Raw genomic sequence first — 14,475 nt, forward strand, 5'->3', positions numbered from 1 at the left:
AAGACTCCATCAAAAAAAAACCACTAGAACTGATAAAGTCCACAAAGTTGCAGGATACAAAATCAACATACAAAAATCAGCAGCATTTCTATATGCCAACAGTTAATAATCTAAAAAAGAAATAAGAAAGGAATCTCATTTACAATAGCCATACATAAAATTAAATGCCTAGGAATTAACCAAAGAAGTGGAATACCTCTATAATGAAAACTATAAAACACTCATGAAAGAAACTGAGGAGGACACCAAGAACTGGAAAAATCTTCCACATTCATGGATTGGAAGAATCAATGTTTTTAAAATGTCCATACTACCCAAAGCAATCTATAGATTCAATGCAATCCATATCAAAACACCAATGACATTCTTCAAGGAAATAGAAAAAACAATCCTAAAATTTACATGAAACCACAAAAGACCCAGAATAGCCAAAGCTATCCTAAGGAAAAATAAGAAAACTGGAATAATTTGAATCATTACCTGATTTCAAATTACACTACAAAGCTATAGTAACCAAAGCAGCATGTAATGGTATAAAAACAGACACACAGACCAATGGAACAGAATAGAGAACCCAGAAACAAATCCACACACCAACAGTGAACTCATTTTTGACAAAGGTGCCAAGAACATACACTGAGAAAAGACAGTCTCTTCAATAAATGGTGCTGGGAAAACTGGATATCCATATGCAGAAGAATGAAACTAGACCCCTATCCCTTGTCGTATCTAAAAATCACATCAAAATTGATTAAAGACTTTAAATCTATGACTTCAAACTATGAAAGTACTATAAGAAAACATTGGAGAAAATCTCCAGGATATTGGTCTGGGCAAAAATTTCTTGAGCAATACCCCATGAGCACAGGCAACAAAAGCAAAAATGGACAAGTGGGATCATATCAAGTTAAAAGGTTTTTGAACAGCAAAGGATACCATCAACAAAGTGAAGAGACAACCCACAGAATGGGAGAAAATATTTGCGAACTACCCATATGACAAGGGATTAATAACCAGAATATATAAGGCACTCAAACAATCTACAGGAAAAAAGTCTAATAATCTGATTTAAAAATGGGCAAAAGATTTGAATAGACATTTCTCAAAAGAAGACACATAAATGGCAAACAGGCATAAGATCTGATCACCACAGAAATGCAAACCAAAACTACAATGAGATATCATCTCACTCCAGCTAAAGTGGCTTATATCCAAAGGACAGGCAATAACAAATGCTGGCAAGGATGTGGAGAAAAGGGAACCCTAGCACACTGTTGGTGGGAGTGTAAATTAGTACAACCACTATGGAGAAGGGTTCGGAGGTTAATCAAAAAAAACTAAAAATAGAGCTACCGGCCGGGCATGGTGGCTCATGCCTGTAATCCCAGCACTCTGGGAGGCCGAGGCAGGCAGATCACAAGGTCAGGAGTTCGATACCAGCCTGGGCAATATGCTGAAACCCCATCTCTACTAAAAAACTACAAAAATTAGCTGGGCGTGGTGGCGTGAGCCTACTGTAGTCCCAGCTACCCGGGAGGCTAAGGCAGGAAAATCGCTGGAACCCAGGAGGCAGAGGTTGCAGTGAACTGAGATCATGCCACTGCATTCCAGCCTGGGTGACAAAGTGAGACTCTGTCTCAAAAAAAAAAAAAAAAAAATAGAGCTACCATATGATTCAGCAATCCCATTGCTGGATATATACCCACAAGAAAGGAAATCAGTATGTCGAAGAGATATCTGTACTTCTATTTTTTGCAGCATTGTTCACAATAGCTAAGCTTTGGAAGCAATGTAAGTGTCCATCAACAGATGAACAGATAAAGAAAATGTGGTACATATACACAATGGAGTACTATTCAGCCATAGAAAAAGAATGAGATCCTGTCATCTGCAACAATATTGATGGTCATTATGTCAAGTGAAATAAGCCAAGCACAATCAGACAAACATTGCATGTTCTCACTTATTTGTGGGATCTAAAAATCAAAACAATTGAAGTCATGGACATAAATAATAGAAGGATGGTTACCAGAGGCTGGGAAGGGTAGTGGGGGCACTGCAGGGAGAGGTGGGAATGGCTAATGGGTATCAAAAGATAGAAAGGATGAAGAAGACCTACTATTTGATAGCACAACCGGATAACTATAGTCAATGGAAACTTAATTGTACATTTGAAAATAACTAAAAAGTGTAATTGGATTGTTTGTAACACAAAGAATAAATGCCTGTGGGATGGATACCCCATTCTCCATGATATGATTATTTCACATTGCATGCCTGTATCAAAATATCTCAAGTACCCCACAAATATATGTACCTACTATGTACCCACAGAAATTTTTTTAAAAAGGTTGGGGGTAAAAATGACAAAAGGACATATACAAAGAAATAACAGAAAAGAATCAAGGAACAAAATATGACAATTCCCACATTTAACAAGTGGCAATACAATGGAAAGGAGCCATTAAAATAATGTAGGATATCTGAATAATGAGATACAGGGAAGCCTAGGAGAGGAGGCAGAGTAAAAAAGGCAGCTTCAGAAAAGTATGTATGTTACAATCCAAGATTTGAAAAGGGAACACAATTTATACACACATGTATATATATACATATATGATTACACTGACATGTGTTTATGTATATAGTAAAAAGGTCTGGAAAGATTATAACCAAATTATTAACAGTAGTTGACACTGAGGAGTGGGACAAGGGAAGATATTAATGTGAGGGGGTGAGCCTCCTTTTTCTATTTTATACATTTTTATATGTTAAGAATTTTTTACAAAACTAAGTGCCACTTTTGTAACTTTTAAAAATTGTTTGTTTTTTGAAGGGAGCATCAAAAGCCAATGCAGAAGATACAGAAGGAGCAGCCAGGAAGAAAATCAGGACAGTGGTGTTTCACAGAAACCTAGAGAGAAGAGAATTTCACAGAAAAATTAGCAGAGCATGCCAACTACTGATACTGATTAGGGAAATTTAGAAATGTCAAAAATCTTCTAACTCAGCCATGAAGAGATCACTGCTGATTTTCTGTCAGGGAAAAACCCCAAATATTTTTATATTAAACACTTCATGAGTCAAAGAGAAATCACAAATCAACTCAGAAGATTTTAAAAACCCAATAAAAGTGAACATAATACATAAAAAATTATGGGATGCAGGTCAAGCAGTGTTTAGAGAAAATTTTGTATCTGTAAATGCTTGTAATATAAAAAACAAAGAATCACCAAGTGCAGTGGCTCATGCCTGTCATCCCAACACTCTGGAGGCCAAGGAGGGAGGATCGTTTGAGGCCAGGAGTTCGAGACTAGCCTGAGGAACATAACAAGGCCTCACTGCAACAACAAAACAACAAATGAAAATTAGCTGGGCATGGTGGCTGATGCCCACCATGGGCAGGTTGCTTGAGCCCAAGAGTTTCAGACCAGCTTGGGCAACATAGTGAGACCATGACTCTACTAAGAAAGAAAGAAATTAGCTGGTCAGGGTGGCATGCACTGCATCTATGGTTCTAGCTACTCGGGAGGCTGAGGTGGGAGGATCACTTTTGCTCAGGAGTTTGAGGCTGCAGTGAGCCATGATTGCACCACTATACTCCAGCCAAGGTAATAGATGGAGACCCTGTCTCAAGAAAGAAAGAAAGAAAAGGAAGAAAAGGAAGGAAAGGAGAGGAGAGGAGGGGAAAGAGGAAAGGAAAGAGGACAGGACAGGACAGGACAGGACAGGACAGGAAAGGAAAGGAGGAAGGAAGAGAGGAATGGAGGAAGGGAGGAAGGGAGGGAGGGAAGGAGGGAAGGAGGGAGGGAGGGGAAGGAAGAAAGTTAAGAAAGGAAGAAAGAGGAAGGAAGGAAGGGAGGAAGGGATGAAGGGAAGGAAGGAGGGAGGGAGGGAGGGAAGGAGGGAGGGAAGGTGGCTAAGTTTTACATTCTGCTGCTACTCATATCTGATAAGCATATCAATAAGGTCAACTTCTCTTTGTCCTCTCCCCGTCCTGAATCCCTATAGGCAAAGAACAAACCATGTGGTGCCAGGCACAGGGATAAGTTTAGCTCATACTTCCAAACACACCTTCCATTCATTATGTACCCACATCTGTTTGAATACAGGGATAAGATAATATCTTCTAAAAAATTGCCAGTTACCAATTACTTGTCTCTTACCACTACATATAAATTCCCCCAAATTATGAATGTTTTAATTGTAACCAAGTACTATCAAAACAGTGAATGTAAATCTATCATCTTTAAATAGATCTTTCACAAAAATAATTTTGCATTTACATTAAAACTATTAATATTATTTTTTGAATACACATAATTTTGAGGAAAAAATGCATTTCCTGTGGGGTTAATTCACCAAGTAAAGAAATCCCTGTAAGCAAAAATCCTTTCATGTTCTCATCTACTGATGACTGCTTAGCAGCTTCTCTTTCATTTAAACCAAACATAGCCTATATCATCATTTCATGCCTCTTCTCTCTAATTAGATAAATCTGGTTGCTCTTCTCTTTCTATACATTAAAAGGTTGGGATGTTTTGTTTTTCCAGTATCTCAGAATTCTAATCCTTACAGCACCACGATGACAGGAAGAATTGTGTGATTTAGAGAAGGCAGGATCCAAGGAAATATATCTAAAGAAAGAGGCCAGGTACGGTGGCTTATGCCATAATTGTAGCACTTTGGAAAGCCGAGGTGGGAGGATCGCTTGAGCCCAGGAGTTCGAGACCAGCCTGGGCAACATAAGAAGACGCCTGTCTCTACAAAAAATTTAAAAAATAGCCAGGTGTACTGGCGTGTGCCTGTCGTCCCAGCTACTCGGGAGGCTGAGGTGGGAAGATCACTGCAGTGAGGTGTGGTTGTGCCACACCATCCTTGGCCTGTGTACTCCATCCTCAGTGACAGATGAAGACCCTGTCTCAAAAAGAAAAGGAAAAGAAAAGAGCACACACAATAAGGATATTCTTTTAAATATAAACACACAGATTCCTATAAAAGATAGTGATCTACTCCAGCTATTTCCAGCTCATGACTTTGACCTGGGCTCTTACAGGCAACCCTGTTCTTACCTAGATTGGAGGATGCTCGCCCCTCTGCAGCCCGGTCCTTGAGATCCTCAGCAATGCCCAGCTGCTGCTCATGGTATTGTTTAGCTCTCTCCAAATCCTGCATGCACCTGGCAGCATGGCCTAGTCCAGCATAGGCCCGCATCTCAATAGCCTTCTCCATCAACTCCTGTGCCAGCTCCAGGACATAGTTATGGTAAGACATGGCCTTGTCAAAGTTCCTCCGGTAGTGATAGGCACTGCCCAGGTTGCTATAAGCCCGGGCCTCTTCTCGCTTGTTCCCCAGGTCCTTGGCTATCTTCAGATGCTGCTCATGGCACTGCACAGCATTCTCAAAGTCACCCATGGCAATATACACAGCTCCCATGTTGCCAAGTTCTCGGGCTTCAGAAAGTTCATCTTTGGATTGCTTGGCAAGAAGAACACACTGTTTGTGACTGGCCAGTGCATTGGGGTAGTCTCCAATGGCTGTGTACACGTGGCCCAGACTGCTCAAGGCTGATGAAGCTGCCTGGAGAGAAAAGGATAAAGTGGAGAAATGAAAACACATCAGAATGGTTTTGGTATATTTTGGCAGATAAAATTTTACAGGTTGCAAGATGGCCGAATAGGAACAGCTCTAGTCTACAGCTCCCAGCGTGAGTGACGCAGAAGACGGGTGATTTCTGCATTTCCAACTGAGGTACCGGGTTCATCTCACTGGGGAGTGCCGGACAGTGGGTGCAGCGCACCGTGCATGAGCTGAAGCACGGCGAGGCATTGCCTCACCTGGGAAGCACAAGGGGTCAAGGAATTCCCTTTCCTAGTCAAAGAAAGGGGTGACAGACGGCACCTGGAAAATCAGGTCACTCCCACCCTAATACTGCACTTTTCCAATGGGCTTAACAAACGGCACACCAGGAGATTATATCCCGCACCTGGCTCAGAGGGTCCTATGCCCATGGAGCCTTGCTCATTGCTAGCACAACAGTCTGAGATCAAACTGCAAGGCGGAAGCGAGGCTGGGGGAGGGGCGCCCATCATTGCCAAGGCTTGAGTAGGTAAACAAAGTGGCCAGGAAGCTCGAACTGGCTGGAGCCCACCACAGTTCAAAGAGGCCTGCCTGCTTCTGTAGACTCCACCTCTGGGAGCAGGGCACAGACAAATAAAAGACAGCAGTAACCTCTGCAGACTTAAATGTCCCTGTCTGACAGCTTTGAAGAGAGTAGTGGTTCTCCCAGCACGCAACCTGAGATCTGAGAATGGGCAGACTGCCTCCTCAAGTGGGTCTCTGAACCCCGAGTAGCCTAACTGGGAGGCACCCTCCAGTAGGGGCGGACTGACACCTCACATGGCAGGGTACTCCTCTGAGACAAAACTTCCAGAGGAACGATCAGGCAGCAGCATTTGCAGTTCACCAATATCCACTGTTCTACAGCCACTGCTGCTGATACCCAGGCAAACAGGGTCTGGAGTGGACCTCCAGCAAACTCCAACACACCTGCAGCTGAGGGTCCTGACTGTTAGAAGGAAAACTAACAAACAGAAAGGACATCCACAACAAAAACCCATCTCCACGTCACCATCATCAAACACCAAAGTAGATAAAACCACAAAGATGGGGAAAATACAAAGCAGAAAAACCGGAAACTCTAAAAATCAGAGTGCCTCTTCTCCTCCAAAGGAACACAGTTCCTCACCAACAATGGAACAAAGCTGAATGGAGAACGACTTTGACAAGTTGAGAGAAGAAGGCTTAAAATGATCAATGACGAGTTGAGAGAAGAAGGCTTCAGATGATCAAACTACTCTGAGCTAAAGGAGGAAGTTCGAACCCATGGCAAAGAAGTTAAAAACCTTGAAAAAAAACTAGACAAATGGCTAACTAGAATAACCAATGCAGAGAAGTCCTTAAAGGACCTGATGGAGCTGAAAACCATGGCATGAGAACTACGTGATGAATGCACAAGCCTCAGTAGCTGATGCGATCAACTGGAAGAAAGGGTATCAGTGATGGAAGACGAAATGAATGAAATGAAGTGAGAAGAGAAGTTTAGAGAAAAAAGAATAAAAAGAAATGAACAAAGCCTCCAAGAAATATGGGACTATGTGAAAAGACCAAATCTACATCTCATTGGTGTACCTGAAAGTCATGGGGAGAATGGAACCAAGTTGGAAAACACTCTGCAGGGTATTATCCAGGAGAACTTCTCCAATCTAGCAAGGCAGGCCAACATTCAAATTCAGGAAATACAGAGAACACCACAAAGATACTCCTCGAGAAGAGCAACGCCAAGACACATAATTGTCAGATTCACCAAAGTTGAAATGAAGGAAAAAATGTTAAGAGCAGCCAGAGAGAAAGGTCGGGTTACCCACAAAGGGAAGCCCATCAGACTAACAGCTGATCTCAGGACAGAAACTCTACAAGCCAGAAGAGAGTAGGGGCCAATATTCAACATTCTTAAAGAAAAGAATTTTCAACCCAGAATTTCATATCCAGCCAAACTAAGCTTCATAAGTGAAGGAGAAATAAAATCCTTTACAGACAAGTAAATGTTGACAGATTTTGTCACCACCAGGCCTGCCCTAAAAGAGCTCCTGAAGGAAGCACTAAATATGGAAAGGAACAACTGGTACCAGCCACTGCAAAAACATGCCAAATTGCAAAGACCATCCAGGCTAGGAAGAAACTGCATCAACTAACCAGCAAAATAACCAGCTAGCATCATAATGACAGGATCAAATTCACACATAACAATATGAACCTTAAATGTAAATGGGCTAAATGCTCCAATTAAAAGACACAGACTGGCAAATTGGATAAAGAGTCAAGACCCATCAGTGTGCTGTATTCAGGAAACCCATCTCACATGCAGAGACACACATAGGCTCAAAATAAAGGGACGGAGGAAGATCTACCAAGCAAATGGAAAACAAAAAAAGGCAGGGGTTGCAATCCTAGTCTCGGGTAAAACAGACTTTAAACCAACAAAGATCAAAAGAGACAAAGAAGGCCACTACTTAATGGTAAAGGGATCAATTCAACAAGAAGAGCTATCCTAAATACATATGCACCCAATACAGGAGCACCCAGATTCATAAAGCAAGCCCTTAGTGGCCTACAAAGAGACTTTGACTCCCACTCAATAATAATGGGAGACTTTAAACCCCACTGTCAACATTAGACAGATCAACGAGACAGAAAGTTAACAAGGATATCCAGGAATTGAACTCAGCTCTGCACCAAGCGGACCTAACAGACATCTACAGAACTCTCCACCCCAAATCAACAGAATATACATTCTTCTCAGCACCACACCACACCTATTCCAAAATTGACCACATGGTTGGAAGTAAAGCACTCCTCAGCAAATGTAAAAGAACACAAATTATAACAAACTCTGTCAGATCACAGTGCAATCAAACTAGAACTCAGGATTAAGAAATTCACTCAAAACCGCTCAACTACATGGAAACTAAACAACCTGCTCCTGAATGACTACTGGGTACATAACGAAATGAAGGCAGAAATAAAGATGTTTTTTGAAGCCAATGAGAACAAAGACACAACATGCCAGAATCTCTGGGACACATTTAAAGCAGTGTGAAGAGGGAAATTTATAGCACTAAATGCCCACAAGAGAAAGCAGGAAAGATCTAAAATTGATACCCTAACATCACAATTAGAAGAACTAGAGAAGCAAGAGCAAACACATTCAAAAGCTAGCAGAAGGCAAGAAATAACTAAGATCAGAGCAGAACTGAAGGAGATAGAGACACAAAAAACCCTTCAAAACATCAATGAATCCAGGAGCTGGTTTTTGAAAAGATCAACAAAATTGATGGACTGCTAGAAAGACTAATAAAGAAGAAAAGAGAGAAGAATCAAATAGATGCAATAAAAAACGACAAAGGGGATATGACCACCGATTCCACAGAAATACAAACTACCATCAGAGAATACTATAAACACCTCTACGCAAAAAAACTAGAAAATCTAGAAGAAATGGATAAATTCCTCGACACATACACCCGCCCAAGACTAAACCAGGAAGAAGTTGAATCTCTGCAAAGACCAATAACAGGCTCTCAAATTGAGGCAATAATTAATAGCTTACCAGCCAAGAAAAGGTCCAGGACCAGATGGATTCACAGCCAAATTCTACCAGAGGTATAAGGAGGAGCTGGTACCATTCCTTCTGAAACCATTCCAATCAATAGAAAAAGAGGGAATCCTCCCTAACTCATCTTATGAGGCCAGCATTATCCTGATACCAAAGCCTGGCAGAGATACAACAAAAAGAGAATTTTAGACCAATATCCCTGATGAACATTGATGCAAAAATCCTCAATAAAATACTGGCAAACCGAATCCAGCAGCATATCAAAAAGCTTATACACCACGATCACGTGGACTTCATCTCTGCGATGCAAGGCTGGTTCAACATACACAAATCAATAAACGTAAGCCATCATATAAACAGAACCAAAGAAAAAACCACATGATTATCTCAATAGATGCAGAAAAGGCCTTTGACAAAATTCAACAATGCTTCATGCTAAAATCTCTCTATAAATTAGGTACTGATGGGAAGTATCTCAAAATAGTAAGAGCTATCTATGGCAAACCCACAGCCAATATCATACTGAATGGCCAAAAACTGGAAGCATTCCCTTTGAAAACTGGCACAAGACAGGGATGCCCTCTCTCACCACTCCTATTCAACACAGTGTTGGAAGTTCTGGCCAGGGCAATCAGGCAGGAGAAGGAAATAAAGGGTATTCAATTAGGAAAAGAGGAAGTCAAATTGTCCCTGTTTGCAGATGACATGATTGTATATCTAGAAAACCCCATCATCTCAGCCTCAAATCTTCTTAAGCTGATAAGGAACTTCAGCAAAGTCTCAGAATACAAAATCAATGTGCAAAAATCACAAGCATTCCTATACACCAAAAACAGACAAACAGAGAGCCAAATCATGAGTGAACTCCCATTCACAATTACTTCAAAGAGAATAAAATATCTAGGAATTCAACTTACAAGGGATGTGAAGGACCTCTTCAAGGAGAACTACAAACCACTGCTCAATGAAACAAAAGAGGGCACAACCAAATGCAAGAACATTCCATGCTCATGGATAGGAAGAATCAATATCGTGAAAATGGCCATACTGCCCAAGGTAATTTATAGATTCAAGGCCATCCCCATCAAGCTACCACAGACTTTCTTCACAGAATTGGAAAAAACTACTTTAAAGTTCATATGGAACCAAAAAAGAGCCCGCATTGCCAAGTCAATCTTAAGCCAAAAGAGCAAAGCTGGAGGCATCACGCTACCTGACTTCAAACTATACTACAAGGCTACAGTAACCAAAACAGCATGGTACTGGTACCAAAACAGAGATATAGACCAATGGAACAGAACAGAGCCCTCAGAAATAATGCCGCATATCTACAACCATCTGATCTTTGACAAACCTGACAAAAACAAGAAATGGGGAAAGGATTCCCTATTTAATAAATGGTGCTGGGAAAACTGGCTAGCCATATGTAGAAAGCTGAAACTGGATCCCTTCCTTACACCTTATACAAAAATTAATTCAAGATGGATTAAAGACTTAAATGTTAGACCTATAACCATAAAAACCCTAGAAGAAAACCTAGGCAATACCATTCAGGACATAGGCATGGCCAAGGACTTCGTGTCTAAAACACCAAAAGCAATGGCAACAAAAGCCAAAATTGACAAATGGGATCTAATTAAACTAAAGAGCTTCTGCACAGCAAAAGAAACTACCATCAGAGTGAACAGGCACCCTACAGAATGGGAGAAAATTTTTGCAACCTACTCATTTGACAAAGGGCTAATATCCAGAGTCTACAATGAACTCCAACAAATTTACAAGAAAAAAACAAACAATCCCATCAAAAAGTGGGCGAAGGACATGAACAGACACTTCTCAAAAGAAGACATTTATGCAGCCAAAAAACACATGAAAAAATGCTCATCATTACTGGCCATCAGAGAAATGCAAATCAAAACCACAATGATACACCATCGCACACCAGTTAGAATGGCGATCATTAAAAAGTCAGGAAACAACAGGTGCTGGAGAGGATGTGGAGAAATAGGAACACTTTTACACTGTTGGTGGGACTGTAAACTAGTTCAACCATTGTGGAAGTCGGTGTGGTGATTCCTCAGGGATCTAGAACTAGAAATACCATTTGACCCAGCCATCCGATTACTGGGTATATACCCAAAGGATTATAAATCATGCTGCTATAAAGACACATGCACACATGTTTATTGTGGCACTACTCACAATAGCAAAGACTTGGAACCAACCCAAATGTCCAACAATGATAGACTGGATTAAGAAAATGTGGCACATATACACCATGGAATACTATGCAGCCATAAAAAAGGATGAGTCATGTCCTTTGTAGGGACATGGATGAAGCTGGAAACCAGCATTCTCAGCAAACTATCGCAAGGACAAAAAACCAAACACCACATGTTCTCACTCATAGGTGGGAACTGAACAATCAGAACACATGGACACAGGAAGGGGAACATCACACACCAGGGACTGTTGTGGGTTGTGGGGAGCGGGGAGGGATAGCATTGGGAGATATACCTAATGCTAAATGACGAGTTAATGGGTGCAGCACACCAACATGGCACATGTATACATATGTAAGGAACCTGCACATTGTGCACATGTACCCTAAAACTTAAAGTATAATAATAATAAAATAAAATAAAATAAAATAAAGAACCTGATTAAATTGGGGAATTTTAAAATAAAAACAGGAAGCACATCATACTCTTAAAAAAAAAATTTTGCAGGTTGCTTGTAATTATCCAATCCAGTTGCTAATCGTACTTCTATCAGTTTTCCACAGACCTACGCAGAATTGATAAAGAACACATCCAAACAGCAAGTTCCTAATAAAAAACAATGGTACTTTAATCAGTAACTTTCTATACCTCATCTCCTAGAAACAAGTTGTATAACATATGTCATTTTAAGGACTTATTGACATTTCTAACATTAATTATGATATTACATCTCTGTTAATACCTATTAACCTCTGTCATATAGGAAAATGTATAAGAAAATGGAAATTAGGCCGGGTGCGGTGGCTCACACCTGTAATCCCAGCACTTTGGAAGGCTGAGGCAGGCGGATCACGAGGTCAGGAGGTCGAGACCATCCTGGCTAACACGGTGAAACCCCGTCTCTATTAAAAATACAAAAAAAATTAGCTGGGCGTGGTTGCGGGCACCTGTAGTCCCACCTACTCGGGAGGCTGAGGCAGGAGAATGGCGTGAACCCAGGAGGCAGAGCTTGCAGTGAGCCAAGATCACACCACTGCACTCCAGCCCGGGTGACAGAGCGAGACTCCGTCTCCAAAAAAAAAAAAAAGAAAAAAAGAAAATCGAAATTAATTACTACATATAACAGACCACAGGAAATTCACAGGAGAAATCCATGCTTGGCTTTTTGCACTCCTGGGAATATCTCTCTTCTTGTCTTCTTCCACGGTAAATGGATATCTTAATGGTAAGAGAGATGTTTACCATGATGACTGATGATTCTGTGACCGAAGGCTCACTGGAGAGGGTCCTGCTCTCTTATCTTTGTTCCTTCAATGCAACTTCATCAGTGTTGGTTACTCTGGAGGGCTTAGATTTGGATGAGTCTCAGAGGAAAAAAATGGGTGGGTTACAACCTGTACTGTACTCTGAGTGGGGTGGTCTCCATTAAGCCTCACCACCCCCTCTCAGGCTCACCCAGCTCTTCAACCATTTCTTTTCCTGCCTAGAAGCGCTTCTAACCCCAGCCTCTCTGTGCAGAGAGATGCCATCTTCCTAGGCCTCTCACATTGCTTGCCACTCATTCTTTTTTTTTTTTTTTTTCTTATTTTGGCCAAGGAAAAGCATGCAAACCCTTTTTGTCTTAAAGGTTTTAATGAAACTGACTCTATGCTGGTGTACTGAACCACAAAGGGACAACAAAAATACAGGAGATGTTACATGGTTTCTAGAATCTTAACAAATACTTAACAGTCTTATATTCTAGTCTTTGGTTTCCAATTTATTTGCAGATATAAAAGGGAAGTTATGCTGGGATTTTTCTGCCCTTCTTTTTATCCTAAAAGTTGGAAGCTTGCCTACCCTTTCTTTCCTTCATTACCGGCCTATGGCTAGAGCCATGTGGCTGCCTTTCTTCATGAAGTTCCCTCTTAGTAAGTGAGCATGTGATCCTGCCAGAACAAAGGGTGTACTCTGTTACACATGGGCAAGTAATTTTTCTAAGGGCCTCCTGGCTAGGGAATAACAATGAGGGGATGCTGTCCCTCCTGGAGTAAGGGCATTTCTTTACGAAATGTGTTCTATGTCTGTGCACTTCAGAACACTTTTATTAATATTTTATAGATATGAGTGATTTTCTACCCTATTTTCTTTGCCTGTGAAATAGCAGTTCTTGATCAAAATGACTGAGGAAACTTTTTTAAACGGTGCTTGCAAATGGCATATTTGCAAAAAAAAAAAAAAAAAGCCCCATATTGTTTTAAGTTGCTTTTATCATTTCACAGATGTTCTAACAAAAAGACTTAGAAAATAGAGAGGAAATAAATACTTAGAAATTTACTTTTCTGTTTCTTTTTTTCTGAGTGGTAGAGAGCAGAAACAATTCCACACAAGTCACAATGCTGCAGCAGTGTGCTTCTGGCAGAAGCAGCAATGAAGTCAACAAAGAGCATGTCACTTGGTTGTGTACTGGCCTCAGGTTCCTACTTTGTGAGCCTCTTTGGGGCTGAGGTTAGGACTTCATGTCAGCACATTGTACAAGGAACTTTCTACTGCTTCCACCTCCACCCATACCCTATCCCCCAAATCTTTTCTTCCTCCTTTGCTGCAGGCCTAGAGACTCAGCCTCTTTCCTCTACTTCAGTAGTTGGCCCTCCCCACCTTATTCTTTGTGGGTTCTTCTCCACCACCTGGCTAGGGAGGACACAACCCACTCCCACCCAGAAATCTTTGTTACCCTCAAAGCGAAACATGCAGGCTCTTTGACTATGGAGCTAGTGTAGCTTAGAATCAGATACACTTTGTTCAGAACTGCACTGCCCTTTACTAGCTCAGAGAGCTTTAGCAACTTAACTTCGCTGAGCCTTGGTTTTCCAGACATTTTTAGGCCCAAGCAGCAAGCCAGGAAAGAGAATTTTCAAACCCAGCCATGAGCCCCTGTCAAATATGTAAACCATAAATAATTCACTAGATAATTCCAAATAGTAGATCTGGTTGGAGGCAATGAGCCTTTGAACACTGCATAGGATGGATTTATAAGTCTCAGGGCAGGCACAACACCCCAGGCGTCGCTGTTCTCAGGAACTTCTGGTTTATGGCAAC

General features: G+C 41.1%; 1 protein-coding gene across 11 annotated transcripts in view; it reads right to left on the reverse strand.

The window, feature by feature from the left end:
• The window catches only part of TTC28 (tetratricopeptide repeat domain 28), a 701,827-nt gene that overhangs the window by 180,006 nt on the left and 507,346 nt on the right, over positions 1 to 14,475 (reverse strand). For all 11 annotated transcript variants that reach the window (NM_001393403.1, NM_001145418.2, XM_047441214.1 and 8 more), the window contains one exon: positions 5,073 to 5,580. In NM_001393403.1, the coding sequence (NP_001380332.1) occupies positions 5,073 to 5,580 (508 nt within the window). The remainder of the gene's footprint in view (positions 1 to 5,072; positions 5,581 to 14,475) is intronic.

This window comes from Homo sapiens, chromosome 22 (assembly GCF_000001405.40).
Source record: "Homo sapiens chromosome 22, GRCh38.p14 Primary Assembly".
NCBI classification, from domain to species: Eukaryota; Metazoa; Chordata; class Mammalia; order Primates; family Hominidae; genus Homo; species Homo sapiens.